The 23032-nt window shown below is 51.0% G+C and overlaps 2 long non-coding RNA genes across 2 annotated transcripts in view; both read right to left on the bottom strand.

Annotated features, from left to right (window-relative positions):
• The window catches only part of LOC101929650 (uncharacterized), a 71977-nt gene that overhangs the window by 30979 nt on the left and 17966 nt on the right, over window positions 1–23032 (bottom strand). The window lies entirely within an intron of this gene.
• Window positions 6829–14907, bottom strand: LOC124904105 (uncharacterized). Its single transcript, XR_007065981.1, has 2 exons — window positions 14825–14907; window positions 6829–6947 (listed from the first exon to the last, which is right to left on the bottom strand). It is a non-coding gene; the product is annotated as an uncharacterized LOC124904105 (long non-coding RNA).

The following is a 23032-nucleotide window of genomic DNA, read 5'->3' as shown; positions in this document are numbered from 1 at the left end:
CAGAGCCCCGGCATCTGGGATGTGGGCACCCTTGGCAGCCTCAGGGATTTCTGCCACCGTGGGCCTTATCTCAGTGTTTTCAGTAGTTGGAACAGCCCCATAGCAGCCGCTGAGTCTGCCATCCTGTTATGAAGGAAATACGCTGAGGGAAAGGGGGTATGAGGCTGGCGCAGACAATAAACAGAGGTGTGCCAACCGGGAAACACAACACACAGGGAGGCTGCAGTCATCACCCGCAGACACCAACATCCCTGCCCTGAACTAACCTTCCCCGCGTCTCGATTCTCTGCCAACAGCGTTTTTACTTCAAACCAGCAGAGCCAGGTCACCCGCATCAGGAAGGGCAGAAGGTCATCCAGCCTGGACCTGGGGCCCTTCACCCCCACTCCTGTGAGGAGGCCTTCTGTGGCCTCAGCCCCCAGGGCCCTGCCAAGAACCTGCCATCCTGGACATTTGCTCAGCCTGCCTGGGAAACAGAGCTCATCCTGCGTGGCCAGCAACAGAGAAGCTGGGATTTGGAGCTAGATCAGGTCTAAATCTTGGCTCTGCCACTTCCTGTGTGGCCCTGGACTTCCCTGAGTCTCGATATACATGTATGTGAACCCGAAACACAACCACTGCAATCTTGAGGTGTTGTGGAGTGGTTGAGAGGTGTGCACATTCTCTAAAAGACCACTTGAGCAATAGCTGGTTCTTTGAAAGTCTTGCTGGGACAACAGAGGAAGAGCAGGGGAAGGAGGGGGCTGACGACGAGGACGATGACAGGATTATAAGGAACCAAGACCGCTGCCGGCAAACCCCCTGCTCCATAAATGTGCAAGGCAGCACGGGTAGGAAGCGTCACACACAACCCCGGCCAGAGCCAGGCGACACGCCGAGAAACCCTAACACGACAGTGGCATTGTCGGAAACTGATTTACTTTGTTCAAAAAAAATGCGATAATCTTGGAAAACTAGCAAAATCCCAAGTGTGACTTGAAGACAAAGCACAGGCACTCCAGGGATCAAACCAAGAAGAAACACGGTGAGGGGTTTACATTCTGGAATGCATTGGAAGCAGCCCAGTTTCATCACCTCCGATGGCCAACGGCGGCACAGATGGTCTGCGTGAAGAAACACGAGCCCTGCTGTCTCGGGCGTCGGTGCCTTTGTGGCAGCACTGGCATCTCTCTTTCCTCAAAGTTTAAATTCTGTTTTGATGTCAGCAACACGTCAACACTCATATTCTAGGGAGCAAATTTCTCCTTCTGCTCCTTATGGCTAATGCAAAAGTAAACGCCAATTTACTTTTGTCTAAATTATTGAAAATTCAAGTGGAATCACATAGGATTCAGATAAATAGGATTTTCCTGTTTTTGCTGTCGTCTTCTTAAAATGGCACATAAGCTTCCCTCCCCCTCCACTCACCCCGTGACTTCCTTCTGGTCCACACCCTCCCTCAGGGCCCAGCATCTTCTCAGAGGGTGTAGAAACTCGAACTTTCACAAAACACAGAGGCCAGCCCGGCCCTGTCCTGAGCCGGTCTCATTATTTCCTGTCTGCGGACAGGCCCAGACCTCAAGGAGACTACACACTGTGAGACTGTCTTTGCCACAGGCTACCCTGGCCCAAGGTGGAGGAGCAAAGCCACCCCACAGGCCTCCCAGACATACCCCAACCGCAGCTGGAGGTGAGCGTCTCTCTGCCTGGACCTGCTGTGCTCATCAAATCGACGGCAGCCTGCACGGACCACAGGGGCTTGTGAGTTCCTGACGCTGCCCCGCCAGTTACTTTAGCCAGGGCGTTTGCCCTCCTGTGGAAGTTCAATGTCTTCATGTAAAACAAAGGCAATTGATACCTCCAGGGCCCTGGCACTCCAGCTGTCTGTCTCTGGTGACTGGACCTTCTCTGGATAGCTGCACAGGACCTGGTTCTCCGGGCCATCTGGGACCCTCTGTGCTAGGCCCTAACTTCCAGAAGGCTCAGTCACACTTATTCCCCTTCTCACACACGAGCAGTGAGTCTGTGTGCACGTGGGAGAGCTCCGCTGGGTCCTGGTGCTAAGCTCTCTGGTGGGTGCTGCAAGGTTGTCCGAGCTCTCCAGGTCGCCCCTCCAAGGTGGCTGACAAACATAAGTTCTGTCCCAACCATGGCTCCTGAGTGCCTGTTGTCTACCCCTCACCCATCCCAGCAAACAGCAGCCACTCAGCAAGCCCTTCCTGGAGGGATCCACATCCTGAAATGGCCCCCCAGTGTGGGAAAAGCCCAGAGCGCCACGCTGACACCCGGAGCCCAGGGCCGACAGTGGCAGCTTCTGCTGGGGGTCATGTGGGTCAGGGCACTGCTCCCCACCCTCAGGTGATGCCCGAATGCCCTCCAGGAATGACACAGAGGTGGCATCTGGGTGGTGGACATACACCCCCAGGTGTGGAATACAGGCCCATCCCCGCTGTACCCCCCGGGTGTGGAAAGCCAGGCCCATCCCCCCTGCACCCCCCCAGGCGTGGAAAGCCAGGCCCATCCCCCCTGCACCCCCCAGGCGTGGAAAGCCAGGCCCATCCCCCCTGCACCCCCCAGGCGTGGAAAGCCAGGCCCATCCCCCCTGCACCCCCCAGGCGTGGAAAGCCAGGCCCATCCCCCCTGCACCCCCCAGGCGTGGAAAGCCAGGCCCATCCCCCCTGCACCCCCCAGGCGTGGAAAGCCAGGCCCATCCCCCCTGCACCCCCCAGGCGTGGAAAGCCAGGCCCATCCCCCCTGCACCCCCCAGGCGTGGAAAGCCAGGCCCATCCCCCCTGCACCCCCCAGGCGTGGAAAGCCAGGCCCATCCCCCCTGCACCCCCCAGGCGTGGAAAGCCAGGCCCATCCCCCCTGCACCCCCCAGGCGTGGAAAGCCAGGCCCATCCCCCCTGCATCCCCCAGGCGTGGAAAGCCAGGCCCATCCCCCCTGCACCCCCCAGGCATGGAAAGCCAGGCCTGTTCCCCACCACCAGTGCTCACTCAGGAACTGCACACATGAGGATACCCAGCTGCCAGCTGAATCCCTCAGACAGGCCACTCAGGGAGCATCTGCTTGTCTTCAGGGATCTGCAGAGTGAGCATCTGACCCCTCCCTCCAAGAAGGGCAAAGGGTTTCTCTCTGCATGTTGGGGTGATCGAGGAAGGTAAGCTCATCAAGGAGTGAGCAGACCCGCTGGGCCAGGATGTTTGGGGCCCTGGGTGGGTGGCATCTGGTCTTTGAGGGGGAGGCTGCACATGGCTTACCAGAGCTGAACCCTTGTCATCATGGCTGGAGAGTCTCAATCAAACCCAGTGTCTCAGTGTGGCTCAGGGGAGTGAAGATGCCCTAGTGGAGGTCACCATGACCTACAACCATCAGACAAGACCAGGGGCCTCCCCAGGTTTCAGGGTTTGCAGAGCTTTTCCAACACACAAATGTCTGTAGCTGGAGGCCCCACAGACACCTCGAACTCAAGAGGGCACAAAATTGAGCCCATCGCTGACCCCTCCAATCGGCCCCCTCCAGTGACGTGAATGTCAGCCGTCGAGGACTCTTCCGGATCTCCTTCTCCCCGCCTCACACCAACCAACCCCAAGCCAGTCCCACCCCCCAAGTCCTGATTGAACGGGCTGTTTCCCCCTGGCCCAGCTCTGGCAAAGCCGCCTCTCACGGCGACCAGCTCATTCCTCTGTTCAGAGCTCTATGGTGGTCCTGGGCTCAGGGAGGCCAGACTTGTCGAGAACCCCTATTTTAATTGCCCCCAAATTTCCTCTCTAAATACCAGCTCTGGCCCCTCTGCACATCACCCGTAAGTCCCAGCCTCACAGAAACAAGAGGAGTCAAGGTTCTGGGTCCACGCAGTGTACTCACGGTGGCGGAGTGCGGGCGACCGATGCCCAGGGTTTTGAAAAATGTGCTTTGTGTGTTTTCTCTGTTGTTGTTCTTTCAGAGGGGAGTGTAAATCTACTTCTGATCCCTGTCTGGGGCAGAGGCTGTGGCTCTCGGGTGCATGAACTTCAGCTTGGCCGAGTCCTAGCCGCCAGGTGCTGCCATCCCTGCTGCCCTCACTGCCTCCAGCAGGGTCACACCAGGCAGCGCACACCTGTCTGGCAGGTATGATGGATCTGTCTGCTGCTTTAAATTCCTCTGAAAATTGCCTATTAATATCATCTGTCCATTCATCCACCGGAGTTCCTGTCTTTTTCTTATGAATTGGGGGAATTTATTGTATGTTCCTAATTAATCCCTAATTGGGTTTAGAAGTCGTGCATATCTCATCCCGACCTGTCTTGGTTACTTTTGTGGCAACATTTTTATATCATCCATGACTAAGGGGGCACCACTGAAATGAAGTGGGTGCCACCGCTGAGCTCCCCGTGCAGAGGAAGAAACTAAGGCTCAGAGATGCTGAGCGCTTGCTGCAGGTCCCCTGGCCAGTCGGGGAAGGAGGTGGGATTCACACCAGGCCCTGTGCTCTGACTTTGCCAGTCCCTGCTCTACAAGACTCAATGCCAACACCCAACGGTGAGTCCCGTGAACCCCAGGTGGCCTTCACCCCAGCTCTGTGAGGTGCCCAGAGGGAATAATCGATGGTTGTTGAATCCAAGTTTTTGCATTGTGGAAGAGGTTTTGTTTTCACTGAAATACCCAAAAGGTCAAATGCGGCAAAATCACTTAAAACTGGTCTCTTCCACGAGTAGCTCTTGCGGGAGAAAGGGAAGCTTCTGGATAAACTCAAGCCGCAGGGACTCCTGAGCCAGCTGGAAAGGCAGGCTGTGAGGAGGACATGGGGCCTGTGCAACCTGCATCCGTGCGTCAGGGCCTCACAGCCAAAACCAGCTTCTGTGTCCTGTTTTCTCCAAAGGTTGGCTCTTGAAAGCAGGGTCACCTCCTGAAAAGCCAGTGTTTTCCACCATGCCAACAAAATGAAATAAAGAGTCTGGCACTGGGGCGGGAGTCACAGGCCACCAGCCGGGGGGGCTGAGGATGTGGCCCGTGTGTTGTCAGGGAAGGCAGGCGCCAAGCACCTGGCACCAGTAGCGCCTTTGTTGGGCGCCTGGGAGATTGTTGTTTAAAACGTTTAAAATAATAATAAAAAGCGAAAGTCCTTCCAAGAGGGAGGAGAAGAAAGCTGCGCCAAGAGGAAGGTGGGAGAACATCAAGCTCATCCATCCTTATCCGTGTAAATAAAAAGAAATGTGAAGTGGTCTTTAAGCGACAGAGGAAACTGAGAATAAAAGCACTTCAGAGCTGCCTCACTGTTAGCCTTTCTCCCAGTAAAGCACCTTTCACAGAAAACAAACGGTTTGTCATCAGCTCAGGGAACAGACGGACTGGGCCGCAGCGGCCTCCTCGCAGCTCCCTCGCCTGAGGCCCTCGCAGCTCCCCTGCAGCCAGCACTGAGCCTGCGTCCCTTGAGGGCTGCCACTCTCGCTCCGTGGCCTTCTCTCTCCAGCCCTCAGCCAGGAGAGGCGGCACAGGGAGAGGAGGCAGAAGCCGGAGTTCCTGGCTCTGTCCTTGCTGTCTTTGGCTGCACACAGGTTGCTGATGGTCCTAACACACTTGCCCAACCTGCTCCGTGGAACCCTGAGGCCTGGGGGCCCCCCGGCTGTGACTGCTGTGGGGGGTGACCCGCCACGGGCATCCGTCCTGAGCCCCATGCTGCCCGGCCAGGACCTCCTGCACGGGCTCCGTTTCCCTGAGGCAGGAGCCCTCCTCTCCTCCCTGTTGGCCTCTCCTCACTCCTGGGCCTGGGCACGGAACACAGATTCTGGATCGTCACAGAGAGAAACCGATCTGGAAAGCACCAACTCAAATAGAATCACAGCAGCACGGATGCAGTGTGCCAGGCGCCGTTTTAAACCCTTTGAATGTATCCACTCATGTCATCCCCACCAAAGCTCTGTGAGGCACGGCCAGGTTCAGGGGCTGGCCCAAGGCCTGCAACCCCAGTCAGTCCCCGGGATCTGTGGCCGGAGTCGCAAAGCTGCAGCGTGTCTGGGCCCAGGTGTGGCCAGTCCTGCCACATAGGCCTGTGGGTTGGCTCCGAGTTTGTCCTCAAGTGGGTAATAAATAGCACCGTGGCCTGAAGGTCCCGAGAGGCACGTCTGGGGCAGGGGGCGAGGGACACAAGGACACCTCTTGGTCAGGTGGCCCAGGGGCACTCAGCACTTGCTCCTCCCTTGTGGCCGGCAGCAGGTGCAGATTTGACCATATGCTCCTCACAGCAGCGTCAGGTGCTGGCCAGGCCAGGGGGGCCGGGACCCGGGGGCCCAGGTCCATGGGGATGAGCCATCTCTGCCTGGTGAGGCTCCCCCAGTGATTCAGGGCCATGCTTTCGGAGGGGCCAGAGGACAGCCCGGTGCTCTGAGCAGCTGCCGCCGAGACAGGACTAACCTCTCGAGGATTTCATCAGGGAGATGCCTGTTAGTGGAATGAGCAGGAGCCGGGCCGGCAGGAAGGACAGAGCCGAGGGCCTCCCCTGGACTCCTAGGTCTTGGCCTTGCGATCAGTCTTGGCTCTGTCCCCACAGAGGAGCTGAGGCTAAAAGGCTGCCAGCTGCCCCAAAAGTGCATCCCGGCACACAAGCGGCAAGGAGGGTTGAAGCCAGAGACCTGCAGAGAAAGTGTCCCCGGGCGGCACAGCCCCTCTGTGGAGCCGTGGGCTGCAGGTTACACAGCCCGGCTCTTGTGTGTGCCACGTACCCCAGAGACGGCTTGAAACTGGCTGTGCCACCAGCTTGAAGCCACTCGCTGGCTTATGGGGCCTCACCCAGGCCTTGCCCCAGGAGGAAGAGGTGGGAGAACGGAAGGTGCCTTAGCTAGGGCTTCTCTAGCAAAACACCAAGACGATTTAATAACAACACACATTTATTTCTCACAGTTCTGGAGTTTGGAAGCTGCAGACGGTACCAGCTGAGTTGGGTTCTGGTGAGGGCCCTCTTCCTGGCTTGCAGACAGCCACCTTCTCACTGTGTCATGTGGAGGAAGAGAGGGGCATCCCTTAGGCCTCTTCTGTAAGGGCAGTAACCCCGTTCATGAGCCTCCGCCCTCATGACCCCATCACCTCCTAAAGGCTGCACCCCCAAATGCCATCACCTTGAGGGTTGATTTCAACACATGAATTTGGGGGGACACAGGCATTCAGTCCATTGCTTTCCCAGAAAACAAGCTGCAGGGGGACCTGCTGGGCGCCAGGTGGTCCTCGACACCAGCCCGGCTCCAGCAGGCTCTGCAGGCTGCGGAACAGAAGCCCACGTCCCAGGCTCCCCTGTAGGCAGGTAGCGTTGGGCCTCCCTGCTCCGTGTCCACTGTCCATGCCTGCAGCCAATTCCTAATGCCCGGGGCTCAGCTGAGGCACATCTTCCTGAGTCAGTACCCCCAGAGCTGGCTTCCAATGCCCCACCCGTGTAGGCCAATTCTGCATTGTCTCTGGGAGGGGTCTTTACCACTTCCCTCCTGCATCCAAGCCCACCTCACCTGGGAGGGGCCTGCTCCTGTGCGGGACATTGATGGATGCAAAAAAAGAAAATGGTTTTGGGGGTCTGAGGGGCTGAGGAAGCCCACCAAGCTGCTGGACACGGCACCCGAGCACCTGCTGGGCGATGTCGGAATTCTCTCTACACAACATGGACCTGACATCACCCTCTCTGCAGCTCCTGCAGCCAAAGCACAGACATGCACACCAGCCTGCTTGTGCCAGGGAACCTCGTCGGCATGGGGAGGCTGCACCCTGGAGGGGCAGGCTGGGGAAAGGGCATGGAAGGTGGGCAGAGATCGGGCCTGAAGACCCCGTTTTCCCGGACATCCCAATCTCCAGTGTCCTTGGATGTCCCCACCTCTCAGAAACTTGATTTCTGAAGATGAACTCACAGAACTCTTTTGGGCTGAAAGAAACAATGCTAGAAAACGCGTTTGTAAAATCTGCCCTGCCTGTTGCTTATGGCAGAAGGGGTAACCCTTCTTCATGTCCCATTCAGGAGCCCCACCCTGGTGCCCCAGCCTCCGCTGCTGCTGCTGCTGTTGGTAACCGTGCACAGACCTAAATGGGCTCGGGAAACCTGTCCCCATTCATCTCACACATTTCTGACTTGGACCAAACCCAAATTTCATTTGGTCAATGCCCTTCTCACCTCCTCCAGCCCCGTGTCAAGAAATGAAGCCTGACTGTTTCTGAATCATTTGCGCTTAAATCCCCCAAAAGAAGAGCGCTAAGTGGTTTCATCCCCAGAGAGACCTTGCCCAGCCTTTTCTCTGAGTGACAGGACATTCCCATCTGCTAAGATATATTAAACCCCAGCTTCTAGAAAGGCTGGAGTAGGATCTGAGGTGTTCCAAAGGCCTGAGCTTCCAACATGGTCTGAGCATCCGGAATCTATGGTGCTCCCTCAAGGGGAGGCTGGGTGAGCTTGGACAGGGCCACACACTAGGCCCCAGGGGAAAACCGCTCCCCCCCATGGTAGAGAGCTATGTGAAACCCTCCCTCTATCTCTCGGTGGTCAAGTGTATGTGAACTTGTCCTCTTCCAAAACTTCATTTGTCAATTCATAAACATGCCCTGAACTGAGACACAAACATGCCCTGAGCTTGGGCAGCGCCGGAGACACTCAGCACTCGGGAGGTTACGATCTCTGACCTGAGTGCTGGCTCTCACGGAGGGTCAGGCATCACAGTGGGCACTGAGACTGGACAGCCACAAGGAATTCTGGGCAAACAAGAGCCCCCCAGCTAACCCCTCTGGACTCCAGGCAAGCAGGATGACATCACAGCTGAAACCCAAGACCCAGAGGGGAGAGAGCTGGGGTGGGGGCAGGACCAGCGGTCTCAGACCCAGGGAGGACTGTGTGCAGCTCAGCACGCTCCGAACATGGGGATGGGGGACAAGGGGTCCCCTCCTGTCTGAGATGGGCTACCTGAGGGTGACTGTGAGGAAGGGTCCAGGTCCAGCACCGTTTCAGCCCCTCAGGTCCCACGGAAGCCCAGTGTTCTGGCACCAGGAGACTCCGAGCACAACCTGGGGCTCAGTTCTATCACTCGCGGCCCAGCCTGCTCCACACCACTACCCCTCTGAAAAATCTGTTCTGTCTTCATTTCACTCAGCGTCTGCATGCTGTGTCACCACATTTGGAATTATGCAAACTATTGTTATAAATAAATCACAGGCATCAAAAAGGGACCAAGCAGAAAATGAGCCAAACTCTGGAGCCTGCCGAGTCGCTCGTGTGCCCTGCGGTGCTGACACGGATCCCACCTAGACCTGTCTGTGCTCTCAGGCCCTGGTGCACGTTGCCCTCTGGGCAGGGGCATGGGAGGAGCAGCTGGACTCAGCCTCCAGAGCAAGGAGGGGCGAGAAGGAGAAAGGGGCCTCCTTTCAGAAATCTCTCCTCTTACCAGATGCTATTTCACCACTAGAGATTCATTCCTTTGGCTTAGATTGTGTCTCTGCATCTTCTATTAAATGCAGGCATCTGGCTGAGGAGGGCGCCAGCCTCTCTGTGGGCTTTGTTTGGGTGCCACGCCGTGGGCAGGGAAGCCAAGTGCAGAGACAGAAGTGGCCCAGGGGGTGGGAGGATGCCCAGTGGTCAGTGTGACCAGGGTGAGCACCAGCGACATCTCTGAGGCCAACAGAGACACCCCCGCCAGGTAGGAGAGAGGCACGAACAGAGAGGCAGGCAGAGCTGAGGCAACCCGTGCAGCCAGTCCTCTGGCCTTCATCGAAACCGGCGAGGCCACAGAGGCTCCCCAGGGACCCACGTTTGGCTGAAGGATGTTGCAGGCCCTGGGCCTGGCTGCAGAGGCATGCAGCTGCATCTTTCAGCACCCTGGGCTCATCTACAGAGTCAACAGGGAGGGATTAGGGAGGGGGCTGTTTGCAGAGGGTTTAGGGTTTCAAGTAAAGTAAACCCATGTGTGCACTGTTATGTAACCTGCTCAGCCAGCCTGCAATGCCTTCCCACACCATCCACTGGACAGTGGGGGCAGACAGACCTGGGCACCATCCCCCAGTCATCAAGACGGTAGGTGCTTGGCCCCTGATGCCTCATGAGCTGTGTTGCAGGCTGGGTCCTTCTCCAGCCTTGGTGCAAGAATATGGAGGCTGCTCGTGTTCACCGGCATTGGGTAAATACTGTACACGAGCAAAGGCCGGTGGTGTGCTGGGAGGGAGCTGTTCTCACCTATGGAACTCGCCTTTCAACACATGGAAGCCACAGTGCAGGAGTGAGGCGCAGCCAATGCCACGGAGGCAAAGCATGAGACAGGCCCCAGCTCGCAAGCCCACCTTCCTCTAGGCTGAGTGAGGCCTGTGGGCACTCGCACACACATTAAAGGAGGGCACCGAATCCCGGCCTGGGACTGGCCTCACTGTCGGGGTCTTGATGCCACACTCTGCTCAGGGGTCAGGGGAATACTGTCCAGTTGAACCTCAAGGGCCGCCTCGTCGGGGCCTCCAGGGGCCAAAAGTGAGGGTCCTCAAGCCCCCCACAGCAGCCTGACCCCCACGGGGCCTGCACAGGCTCTGGAGCCAGGGAGGGTTCACCGACGGCTGCCTAGGCCATCTGCCTCAGCCCGCTTGGGACAGAGCCTGGCATGGGGACACAGGTCAGATGAACAAAGGTCCTGTGGGCCTGCAGCCCTTGCTCCTGAGCACCGTGCCAGCCCTCCCCTCGGGAAGGGGATCACCTTTCTCTGGGCAGGACCCTGCCCCACCACCACTCAGGCTCAGATGCTGAGGTTGGCTTCTCCTGCCTCAGCACTGACAACTTTTCCTTCTTCATCTGATCCTTCACCAAGTATTTACTGAGTCCTTCACCAGACGTGGCAGCACTCTAGGTACTGGGCAGAGCGGGGAAGAGGCCAACACTGCTCACCCAGCCCTCCTCGCTGCACCCCGACCCCACTGCTGACCCAGCCCTCCTCGCTGCACCCCGACCCCACTGCTCGCCCAGCCCTCCTCACCACACTGCTGACCCCACTGCTGACCCAGCCCTCCTCGCCGCACCCCGACCCCACTGCTCACCCAGCCCTCCTCGCCGCACCCCTCACCCCACTGCTGACCCAGCCCTCCTCACCACACCCCTCACCCCACTGCTCACCCAGCCCTCCTCGCCACACTGCTGACCCCACTGCTGACCCAGCCCTCCTCGCCGCACCCCTGACCCCACTGCTGACCCAGCCCTCCTCGCCGCACTGCTGACCCCACTGCTGACCCAGCCCTCCTCGCCGCACCCCTCACCCCACTGCTGACCCAGCCCTCCTCGCCGCACCCCTCACCCCACTGCTCACCCAGCCCTCCTCGCCGCACTGCTGACCCCACTGCTCACCCAGCCCTCCTCGCCGCACCCGACCCCACTGCTCACCCAGCCCTCCTCGCCGCACCCCTTCACCCCACTGCTCACCCAGCCCTCCTCGCCACACTGCTGACCACACTGCTCACCCAGCCCTCCTCGCCGCACCCCTCACCCCACTGCTCACCCAGCCCTCCTCGCCGCACTGCTGACCCCACTGCTCACCCAGCCCTCCTCGCCGCACCCCTCACCCCAGTGCTCACCCAGCCCTCCTCGCCGCACCCGACCCCACTGCTCACCCAGCCCTCCTCGCCGCACCCCTCACCCCACTGCTGACCCAGCCCTCCTCGCCGCACCCCTCACCCCACTGCTCACCCAGCCCTCCTCGCCGCACTGCTGACCCCACTGCTGACCCAGCCCTCCTCGCCGCACCCGACCCCACTGCTCACCCAGCCCTCCTCGCCACACTGCTGACCCCACTGCTCACCCAGCCCTCCTCGCCACACTGCTGACCCCACTGCTCACCCAGCCCTCCTCGCCGCACTGCTGACCCCACTGCTCACCCAGCCCTCCTCACCACACTGCTGACCCCACTGCTGACCCAGCCCTCCTCGCCGCACCCGACCCCACTGCTCACCCAGCCCTCCTCGCCGCACCCCTCACCCCACTGCTCACCCAGCCCTCCTCGCCGCACCCCTCACCCCACTGCTCACCCAGCCCTCCTCGCCACACTGCTGACCCCACTGCTCACCCAGCCCTCCTCGCCGCACTGCTGACCCCACTGCTCACCCAGCCCTCCTCGCTGCACCCCTGACCCCCACACGGGGCACAGCCAGGTGGTGTGTTGGGGCCCGTCCCACCCCACCTAGGAGGCAGTGGTTTGGGACACATGTGCTGCCACTGCCCCCAGCATCCCCTCCTGCTCCCACTCCCACCCTGCTCTGCCTGCCCTTGGCCTGGGCTTCTCTAGACCTTTGCATCCCCAGACTGGCCCCCCATCCAACTCCAGGCTAGTCTGTCTCTGGACACCATTGGGTGCATCACTTTAGAATATGCGGTGGGCCCTAAACTAGGCTACAAGTAGGTACCAAAAATAAACAATGTACTTAATTAAAAAGAGGGGTGCAAATGAGGAGCTGGTCCCCAGGGACCGCCCTGCTTCTCCATGCCGGCTCCAACGTAAGGAACGCACCAAAAGCTCCCACCGCACACAAGGGAGGAGCCGTGTCTGCCAAGTCCACGCTCTGGCAAGGCCTGGTCTCACCATGGTCACATCCTGGCCACTGCCCACACCAAGTCCCAGGCGAGGCCCCGGCCCACACCGAGTCCCAGGCGAGGCCCCGGGCCACACCGAGTCACAGGCGAGGCCCCGCCCACACCGAGTCACAGGCGAGGCCCCGGCCGTGAGCTCCATCTGGACAAGCCAGGCTGCCCGGGCCGCCTCCAAGCACAGAGACTCTGTTCCTTGGGAGTCCAAAAATCTTTAGGCTGTGGAATTAGTTTAAAAAGATTTCAGATTGATGGGGCTACAGGAGCTTGGGAAAAGCAAATACAGTCTGTGAAGGGATGCACATTCATCTCAAACTCAAAGAATTTCCCCCAATAATTGTATAAGCAACATGAGCAGCTCACAGTGAAAAATAACTACATATACAAAGACACAAGGCACCATGAGTTAGAACTGGCAGAAAAAATAGTAAGCAAAAATCCACAAAGACTTAAAAAATGGAATTATCAGACACATATTATTTTTAGTTATCATTATGTTTAAAGAAGTAAAAGATCAACTTGAAAATACCTGCAAGTAACAGAAAACTATGAAAATGACAGATAGATTTGTTAAACAGCCAATTAAGATTTTTAGAAATCAAAAATCTAATGCACAAAATTAAAAATACATGTAGAACTTAGAAGTTGTCACTCTGTCCTAACAAGTAAACAGCTGAAAAAAATTGAAAAATCAACTCTTCTTAAATCTTTCAGAGAAATTAGGTCACAGGACAAACTGCTGCCCCCCGGCAAATTGAAGAGAAACACTGACAGATACAGAGAATCACAGCTTCCCAAGAGCAGAAACCTCCACTGGAACCAGTGCCGGCATAAGAAAACCTGGATGAAGTTGATGAATTGCGGTTCAGTGTGGACAACTTTGAGAGTTAAAAACTCGAGGGGACCCAGTTATGGGAAACACGCCTTTGTGGATTTTATCTCCAGGAGCCCTACCAGGTCCTCACAGTGAATATCAGAGAGAAATCCCCTCATGCTCTCAGCCGGGGGAGGGGGAAAGGAGTCATTTTAAAGTCTGCCAGAGCCTTCTGTTCTTAACAAGGCTGCCCCCAACAGAAACTATTCAATCAGCCTTGCCTGTTGAGGTTTTATCAGAGCCCAGACCACCTGGGAGAAGGGAAATACCGAACCCCAGGCCCTTCTAGTCATCCTGTCCAACCTTTAAGGGGGATAGAAACTGAAAAGCATTAGTGAAGTTCACAGTCCAGGACACAGGTTCAAAAGGCTGAGACCTGTTCAGAGAACTAGAGAATGCCTCTCCTGGCCCCATGTTGGACCAACACATTTCTTTTTTTTTTTTTTAGACGGAGTCTCGCTCTGTCACCCAGGCTGGAGAGTGCAGTGGCGCAATCTCGGCTCACTGCAGGCTCCGCCTCCCGGGTTCACGCCATTCTCCTACCTCAGCCTCCCAATTATCTGGGACTACAGGCGCCTGCCACCGCGCCCGGCTAATTTTTTGTATTTTTAGTAGAGACGGGGTTTCACCATGTTAGCCAGGATGGTCTCGATCTCTTGACCTCATGATCCACCCACCTGGGCCTCCCAAAGTGCTGGGATTACAGGCGTGAGCCACCACACCCAGCTTGGATCACTACATTTCTAAAGGGCCATTTACTGCAGTTTCTTTTGCCCAGTACATTATGTCTGCCTTTCAACAAAAAATTACAAGGCATACTAAAAGACAAAAGACATAGCTTGAAAAGACGGAATAGCATCAGAACCAGAGTCAGATATGGCAGGAATGTTGAAATTATCAGATCAGGAATGACAAGAACAGATGGGTAATGTAAGCAGAGATGTGGAAAATTCTGAGAAAGAATAAAGAAGAAATGCTAGAGATCAAAACCACTAGAACAGATATGAAGGATGCCTTTGATGGGTTCGTTAGCTGACTAGACATACATGGCTGTGGAAATGATTCTTAGCTTAAGGATATGACAATAGAAACTTCCCAAACCGAAAAGCAAGGAGAAAAAGGAAAAAAAAAAAACAGAATATTCAATAACTCTGGGACAACTACAAAAGGTGTAGCATATGTGTGATGGGAATACAAGAAGGAGAAGAAAGAAATTTGAAGCAATAATGACCAAGAATTTTTCCAAATTAATGTCAGACACCAAACCATAAATCCAGAAAGCTTTGAGAAGATTAAGCAGAATAAATGCCAAAAAAAAAAACTCCAAACAACCAAAAACACCACCTAGGTGTACCACATTCAAACTTTAGAGTCAAAGATAAAGTCTTGAAAAAAAGACAGAGGGAAACAATCACCTTACCTGTGGAGGAGCACGGATAAGAATCACATCTGACTTCTCCTCAGAAATTGTGTAAGCAGCTGGGCATGGTGACTCATGCCTACAATCCCAACACTTTGGGAAGCTGAGGCAAGTGGGATGCTTAAGCCCAGGAGTTCAATATCAGCCAGGGTAACATGACAGGACTCTATCTCTACAAAAAACACAAAAATTAGCCAGGTGTGGTGGTGAGCACTTGTAGTCCCAGCTACTTGGGAGGCTGAGGTGGGAGGATCACCTGAGCCCAGGGAGGTCTAGGCTGTGATGAGCTGTGGGTGCACCACTGCACTCCAGCCTGTGCAACAGGCTTTCAAAAAGAAAGAAAAAGAAAAGAGAGAGAGAGAGAGGGAGAGAGGGAGGGAGGGAGGGAGGGAAGGGAAGGGAAAGAAAGGAAGGAAGGAAGGAAGGAAGGAAGGAAGGAAGGAAGGAAGGAAGGAAGGCAGGCAGGCAGGCAGGCAGGCAGGCAGGCAGGCAGGCAGGCAGGCTGTATAAGCAAGAAGAGAGTGGAGTGAAATATTTAAAGTGCTGAGAGAAAAAAACACCAAACTAGAATTCAGTACCCTGCGAAATTATCCTTTAAAAGTGAAGGAAAAATAAAGTCTCAAACAAATAAAAATTGAGGGAATTTTTTGCCAATAGACTTCCTTACAACAAATATTAGAAGAAATTATTTAAGGAGAAGGAAAATAATGTAGGTCAGAAACTTGAAGCTACATAAAGTAAGGGAGAGCACTGGAACATGAATAAATGAAGTAAAATAAAAACTTTGTCTTTTTTTTAATTTAGCAAACAGAAAACAGTGCAAAATAATAGCGACAATGAACTGAATTATGTGTGCATCTATATGCTCACATATAAATGAAGTGAATGACAGTCATGATACAGGAAGAAAGGGTTAAGAATTAGAAATATTTTGTTATTATAAGATATTTGCACCACCCATGAAACTGTATAGTGTTATTTGAAAGTAGACTTACAGATTATTGTATAATGTATATTGCAAACTCAAGGGAAACCACACAAAAAAATTTTTAAAGAAGTACAGTTGATATGCTCAGAATGGAGAGAAAATGAAAGAATACAAAATGTTCAACTAAAACCATAAAAGGTAGAAAACGTGTGACAAAATTAGAAACAAAGATCAAGGGCAACAAATAGAAAGCAGTAAACAATATAGCAGCTATTAACCCAATTATGTTAATAATCCCTGAAATGTCAATGGTGTAAATACATCAATCAAAAGACAGATTGTCAGAGTAGATAGAAAACAATACCCAACTATATGTCATCTACAAGAAACCCACTTTCATAGAAGGACACGGATAGATTAAAAGTATAGTAAGTCTTCACTAAACGTCAGTGGTAGGTTCTTGGAAACTGTGGCTTTTTGAGTAAAGTGATGTATAACAAAACCACTTTTCCTATAGGCTAATTGATAAACACAAGAGTTAAGTTTTTTGTGACATATTTCTGGTCACAACAATATCACCAAACTTCTAAATATAGGCTCAAAATACTTATAATATTAAACATTGAAATAAATGTAAGATATACATACATTTAAGAAAGATTAAAACAAGTAAGATAATTATTTACTCAATTTTGAGGAATCATCAATGACAGTGGTCATAGTGGTGGTGGGTTAAATCAAGGAATAAATGCTTGTAAACTGAAAATTCTGAGGAGCACCTCCTACCACCACTCAATTCAAAAACAAACAGTAGCAAACATGGCAGGCTTGATGAGCACTTTTGTACCACATTATTTGTGGTCATGTATTTTTATGATTGTCATATAGTTTATGAATTGTTATTTTAAAATACTTTACTAATAATTCATTTATTTTTCAATCCACTTACTCCAGCTCAGGGTTGCAGGTGGCTGGAGCCTATCCCGGCAGCTTAGGGTGCAAGGTGGGAACCAATCCTGGACAGGACTCTTTTCCATTGCAGGGCACATTTCACACACACCCACACTCACAGTGAGACCATGGAGACACACCAGCTCTCCTAGTGTGCACATCTTTGGGGTGTGGGAAGAACTGGAATACCTAGAGAAAACCCACACAGACATGGGGAGAATGCACAAAACTTATTATCATTATAACAAAATAAAATGATGTTGAACAAAATGATGTTATTTGAAGATCTGCTGTAAATGGATGGAGAAAGATATACCATGCTAACACTAATCAAAGAAAGTGGGAGTGGCTATATTAATTTCAGACAGAGCAGACTTCAGAGCAAAGAAAGCTATCAGAGACAAAGGGAAGTATTACAGGTGATAAAGGAATCAGCACTCCAAGAAGATGTAACAATCCTTAATGTGTATGTGCCTAACAACAGAGTGCCAAATATATACGAGGTAAAAACATCACAGCACTGCAATGAGAAATAGATGAATCCAGTATTAGAGCTGGAGACTTCCACAGCCCTCTATCAGAAATGAACAGATCCAGCAGGTAGAAAATCAATAAGGACACAGATGAACTCAACAACACCATCAATCAACTGGACATAATTGACATCTAAATACTACACCCAACAACAGCAGATTGAGAATTCTTCTCAAGCTTGCATTGAATATTTACCAAGAGAGACCACATTCTGGGCCAGGAAACACATTTTAACAGATTTATAAATCAGAAATCACACAACGTTTGCTTTCCAACCACAACAGATTAAACTCAAAATCAATAACAGAAAGATAGCTGGAAAATTCCCAAATACTTGAAGATTAAACAAAACACTTTAAAAAGTACATGGGTTAAAGAAGAAATTTCAGCTGGGCATGATGGCTCACGCCTGTAATCCCAGCACTTTGGGAGGCCGAGGCGGGCGGATCATGAGGTCAGGAGATCGAGACCATCCTGGCTAACACGGTGAAATCCTGTCTCTACTAAAAATACAAAAAATTAGCCAGGTGCGGTGGTGGGCGCCTGTAGCCCCAGCTACTCAGGAGGTTGAGGCAGGAGAATGGTGTGAACCTGGGAGGCGGAGTTTGCAGTGAGCTGAGATTGTGCCACTGCACTCCAGCCTGGGCGATAGAGTGAGACTCTGTCTCAAAAAAAAAAAGAAATCTCAAGATAAATTTTAAAATATTTTGAATTAGCAGTTTAGGAGGCTGAAGCATGAGGATCATTTGAGGCCAGGAGTTTGAGATCAGCCTGGGCAACACAGCAAGACCCCCATCTCTACAAAAACATGTAAAAATTAACTGGGCACAGTTGTATGTGCCTGTAGTACCAGCTGCTCAGGAGACTGAGGCAAGAGGATGACTTGAGCCCAAGAGTGTGAAGCTGCAGTGAGCCATGATCATGCCATTGCACTCCAGCCTGGGTGACAGAGCAAGACCCTGTTTCTAAAAAGTTTTTTTAATTACATAAAAATAAAAATACAACTTATCAAAATTTATGGGAAACAGTTAAAGCAGTGCTTAGAAATTTACAGCATTGAATGCAAATATTAGAAAAGAAGATCTAACATCAGTCGTCTAAGCTTCCACCTTATGAAACTAGAAAAAGAAGAGCAAGTTAAATCCAAACTAACCATAATAAAAGAAATAATAAAATTAGAGCAGAAATCAATAAAATTGAAACCAGGAATTATAGAGAATATTAACAAAAACAAATGCTGGTTCTTTTAAAAGATGAGTAAAATTGGTAAGCCTCTGCCAGGCTAAGAAAAAAAGAGAGAGAGACAAATTACTAATATCAGAAATGAAAGGGGGACATCACTACAGATCCCATGAACATTAAAGGAATAATAAAGGAATATTTTGAAAAATGCTATGCCCACCAATTTGATAACCTAGATAAAATGGAGCAGTTCCTTGAAAGACACAATCTGCCAAAATTCACACAAGAAGAAACAAATAATCTGAATAGGCCTGTTTATATTAAAGAAATTGAATCAATAATTAATAACCTTCCAAAACAGAAAGCACCAAGCCCAGATGGGTTCATTGGTGAATTCTACCAAACATTTAAGGAAAAAATTATGCCAGTCCTCTACAATATCTCCCAGAATGTAGAAACAGCAGGAATACTTTCTAACTCATTATATGAGGCCAGCATTACCCTAATACCAAAACCAGACAAAGATATTACTACAGACAAATGTCTCTCGAGCATACATGTAAAAATCCTCAACAAAATATTAGCAAATTAAATTCAACAATATGTAAAAATAATTATATATTATGAAAAGTAGGGTTTATTCCAGGTATGCAAGGCTGGTTCAACATTTGAAAATTAGTCACATCAATAGGCTAAAGAAGAAAAATCTCATCATCATATCCATGGATGCAAAAATGCATTTGACAAAACCTAACACTTATTCGTGATTAAAAACTCTCAGCAAACTAGGAATACAGGAGAATTTTTTCAACTTGTTAAAGAGTATCTACCAAAAAACTAAAACAAACATCCTACTTAATGGTGAGAAACTCAAAGATTCAGTTGGCAGAATTCATGTTGCCCTGATAGGGGCTCTTTTGAAACTGCTGTCCTATTCTTCTTAGTGCCTCAAACTAGAGCCTGTTCAGATGTGTTATAACAAGGTAGTATGAGTTTATTTTGAAATTGAAATCTACGCATTTTTTCATAATATGCATTTTCCATGAACCTTTTGGAGACCCTCTCACATATTGTCGAGTCAGTTGTTCTAGATTAATCTGTAGATTGAACATACTCTCAATAAAAATCCCAGCAAGTTAATTTATAGACATTGACAAACTGATTCTAAGGTTTATAGAGAGAGGCAAAAGACACCATAATCAAGATACTGACATGAGAATAGGCAAATAAAGCAACAGAATAGGATAAAGTCCTGAAATAGACTCACATAATTTTGTCAACTGATCTTTGGCAAGGGAGCAAAGACGATACTGTGGCCAAAAATTGTCTTTTCAACAAATGAGGCTATAGAGCAACTGGACATCTGCATGCAGAAATTAAATCCAGACACAGACTTTACACCCATCACAAAACTAACTGAAAATGGATCATAGACCTAACGTAAAATGCGAACTATAAAACTCTTAGAAGTTAACACAGGGAAAGCCTAGATGACCTTGGGTAAGGTGATGACTTTTTAGATACAACATTAAAGGCACGATCCATGGAAGAAATGATTGATAAGCTGGGCTTCTTTGAAATTAGAAATTTCTGCTCTGTGAAAGACACTTTCAAGAAAATGAGAAGGCAAGCCACAGACACATCTGATAAAGAACTGATATCCAAAATACATGAAGAACAATCAAAACTCAACAATAAAAAAATGAACAACTTGATTTTAAAATGGGCAAGAGACCAAAACAGACACCTCATCAAAGAAGATATATAGATGGCAAGTAAGCCTATGAAAAGATGTTCAACGTCATACGCCACTAGAGATTGCAAATTAAAACAATGATACCACTCTACATCTATTAGAGTGGCCAGAATGTGTTTTGAGAACACAAAATGCTGGCCAGGATGTGTAGCAACAGGAGCTCTCGTTCACGGCTGCTGGGAACGCAAGACAGTGCAGCACCATTGAAGACAGTCTGGCCGTCTCTTCCAAAATGGAACATACCCTCCCCATAGAATCCAGCAATCGCTGTCTTTGGTATTTAGGTAAATGAACCGAAAAAGTATGTACACAGAGAAGCCTGCACACAGACGTTTATAGGAGCTTTACTCAAAATTGCCAAAGCTTGGGAACAACAAAGAGGTCCTTCAGTAGGTGAGTGGCACATCCAGACAGTGGAGTGTTATTCAGCGCTGAAAAGAAATGAGATGTCAAGCCATGAAAGAAACTCAAATGTATTACTAAGAAGCCAATCTGAAAGGGCTACGTGCTGTATGATCCCAACTATATGACATCCTGCAAAAGGCAAAACTGAGACCGTATAAAATCAGTGGTTGCCAGGAGCTGGGGGAGGGAGGGGTGACCTGGGAAGCGCAGAGGGTTTCAGGGCAGTGAGGCTGTTCTGTGACACTACCACGGTGGCTACACGTCATGATAAATTTGTCCACGCTTAGAATGGACAACACCAAGAGTAAATCCTGATGTAAACCACGGAGTTGGGTCACGATGCTGTGTCGCTGTAGGTTCATTCACTGTAGCAAATGTACCCTCTGATGGGAAATATTGATAAGGGGAGGTTGTATGCCTGTGTGGGGGTGTGATATGAGAAACCTGTGTAACTTCTATCCAATTTTGCTGTGAACCTAAAATTGTTCTAAAAATTAAAGGTTACTTACTAAAAACCAAGTAATCTCAGATGATCTCATATTAAGATCTCTTATTAAGATTACATCTGCAAAGACCCTTTTCCCAAATATGGTGACATTCAAATTCAGAGGCTAGGAGGCAAACGTTTCTTTTGCGGGGGCCACCACTGAGCAAACCTACCACGGAAAACAAAGTAAGAAGAAGAAATTGTCCAACTCTCCAAATCTCATTATTCCAAATGAACCATTAGTGATATTTTAACCTATTTCCTTTGTCTTTTTCCTATATATTTTAAGATGGAGGGAAAGTCTATATATAATTTTACATAATAGATTTTAATCAACTTTATGAGAACATAATTTATACACAATACAAAGCACAGACCTTTAGTGCAGTTTGATGAGTTTTGACAAGCGTGTGCACTGCTCACCAGCACCCCATCAGCATCTGGAATCTTCTTCCCCTCCTGGAAGTCACTCTCCCCTGCTCTGTCCTTGAGAGCCGCTGATGGATTTTCCCATCATGCTCTTCCTTCGATATGGCCACAGGCATCCCCGTGATCTTCAGACCCCCTCCTCCATGTGACTTACGTGCTACATCACAGTCCGCCATTCATTCTTTCAACAATTATATGATTCTGAGAGGCACTGGGGGATTTGCTTAACCACTGCTCTGATGTTGACTATTTAAATGTGCCCTAACTTCCCTGATTATGAACAATGCTGTGAGAACGTGTTTGGGCGCTGAGTTTTGTCCACTCCCTTGTCTCTGGGATGGCTCGTCCAGGGTGGAACACACAGGTCGAAGGTGTGAACTTCCTGGAGCACGCTGGCCGACGCCCCCCCAGGCTGTGGTGCCTGTCGGTCTCGGTGGCCACACCTCGCAGGTTCAGGGCCTGTTTCGCAAATGCCAGGGCCGTACTGTTTTGTTTTGTATTTCTTGGATTACTGGTGAGACCATGTTTTTCATGTTTTTAGCCACCTGGGTTCTCATAGCTCTGAACTATCTGTTTATGGCCTCTGCCCATCTCTCTGTTGGGAAAAAAAAATTGTGTTCTCTGGGGACAGTAACTCAGGGTCTCTGGAAAGGGGCCTCTCTCTGGGCTGTACCAGTCATGAGTGGAGCAATGTCCCCCCGAGGCCCGGAGAAGCCTGTTCCTGCCGGACGGCACCAGGGCCTGAGCACCCTCACCCCCCTCAGGAGCCTGTGATCGGTCCCCCAATTTAACGCTGAGGCAACGGCCATTGGTTCTGTTTCCCAGGGGCCGCCCATTTAGAATGACATCCTGGCTACAGCATCGACCTTGAGCTGCAAAGCAAACAAGGAGAATATGCAAATTTGCTGTCAATACAGGGATGGGAATGCTGAGAACTGCACTCATTTTTAAGCCGAAAGTCCAATATTTGGATACCAAGATTCTGTTCCCAGTCATAAGCCAGCATAACAACCACGTGGAAACCATTTGTGCTGGATGATAGATTGTAAACAGCTGGTGGGATCAGGCCTTCGCAGCCCCAAAAACTGCAAATCAAAAATCCACATGTTTAATAAACAGACGATGAATCACAATGAGAAGGGAAGGGAGATGGGGAGAGGGCTGGGCCTCCGGTGCTGAGCTGGCGGGATGCGGTGGGCGTGAGCCTCGCCCCAGGCACAGGACACCAGACACTTGGGTCAGACATGATTCCCAGGCGTGGGGCCACAGCCTGGACCCAGAGGAACACTGCAGCCACAAATCCATCTCAAAACATGTAAATCTGGGGCAACCCCTCCAACAGAGGCCAAAACCATGGAGAGCAGTTTTGTCAACACTGGGGAGGGGGAGGATACACAGTAGGCCTGGAAGTGTCTGGACCCAGCCCTGGTGCACAGTGGTGCTTAAGGTCAGCACCTGGCGTGGGGCAGCTGTCACTGAGGTCTGAAAAAGACGCTGAAGCTGGTGGTATCTGGGAGGCTGGAGCTTAGGACAGCT

Source organism: Homo sapiens, chromosome 17 (assembly GCF_000001405.40).
Source record: "Homo sapiens chromosome 17, GRCh38.p14 Primary Assembly".
In the NCBI taxonomy this organism is placed as follows: Eukaryota; Metazoa; Chordata; class Mammalia; order Primates; family Hominidae; genus Homo; species Homo sapiens.
Note: the sequence above shows the minus strand (reverse complement) of the source record. Positions and strands in the feature narration are given on the sequence as shown.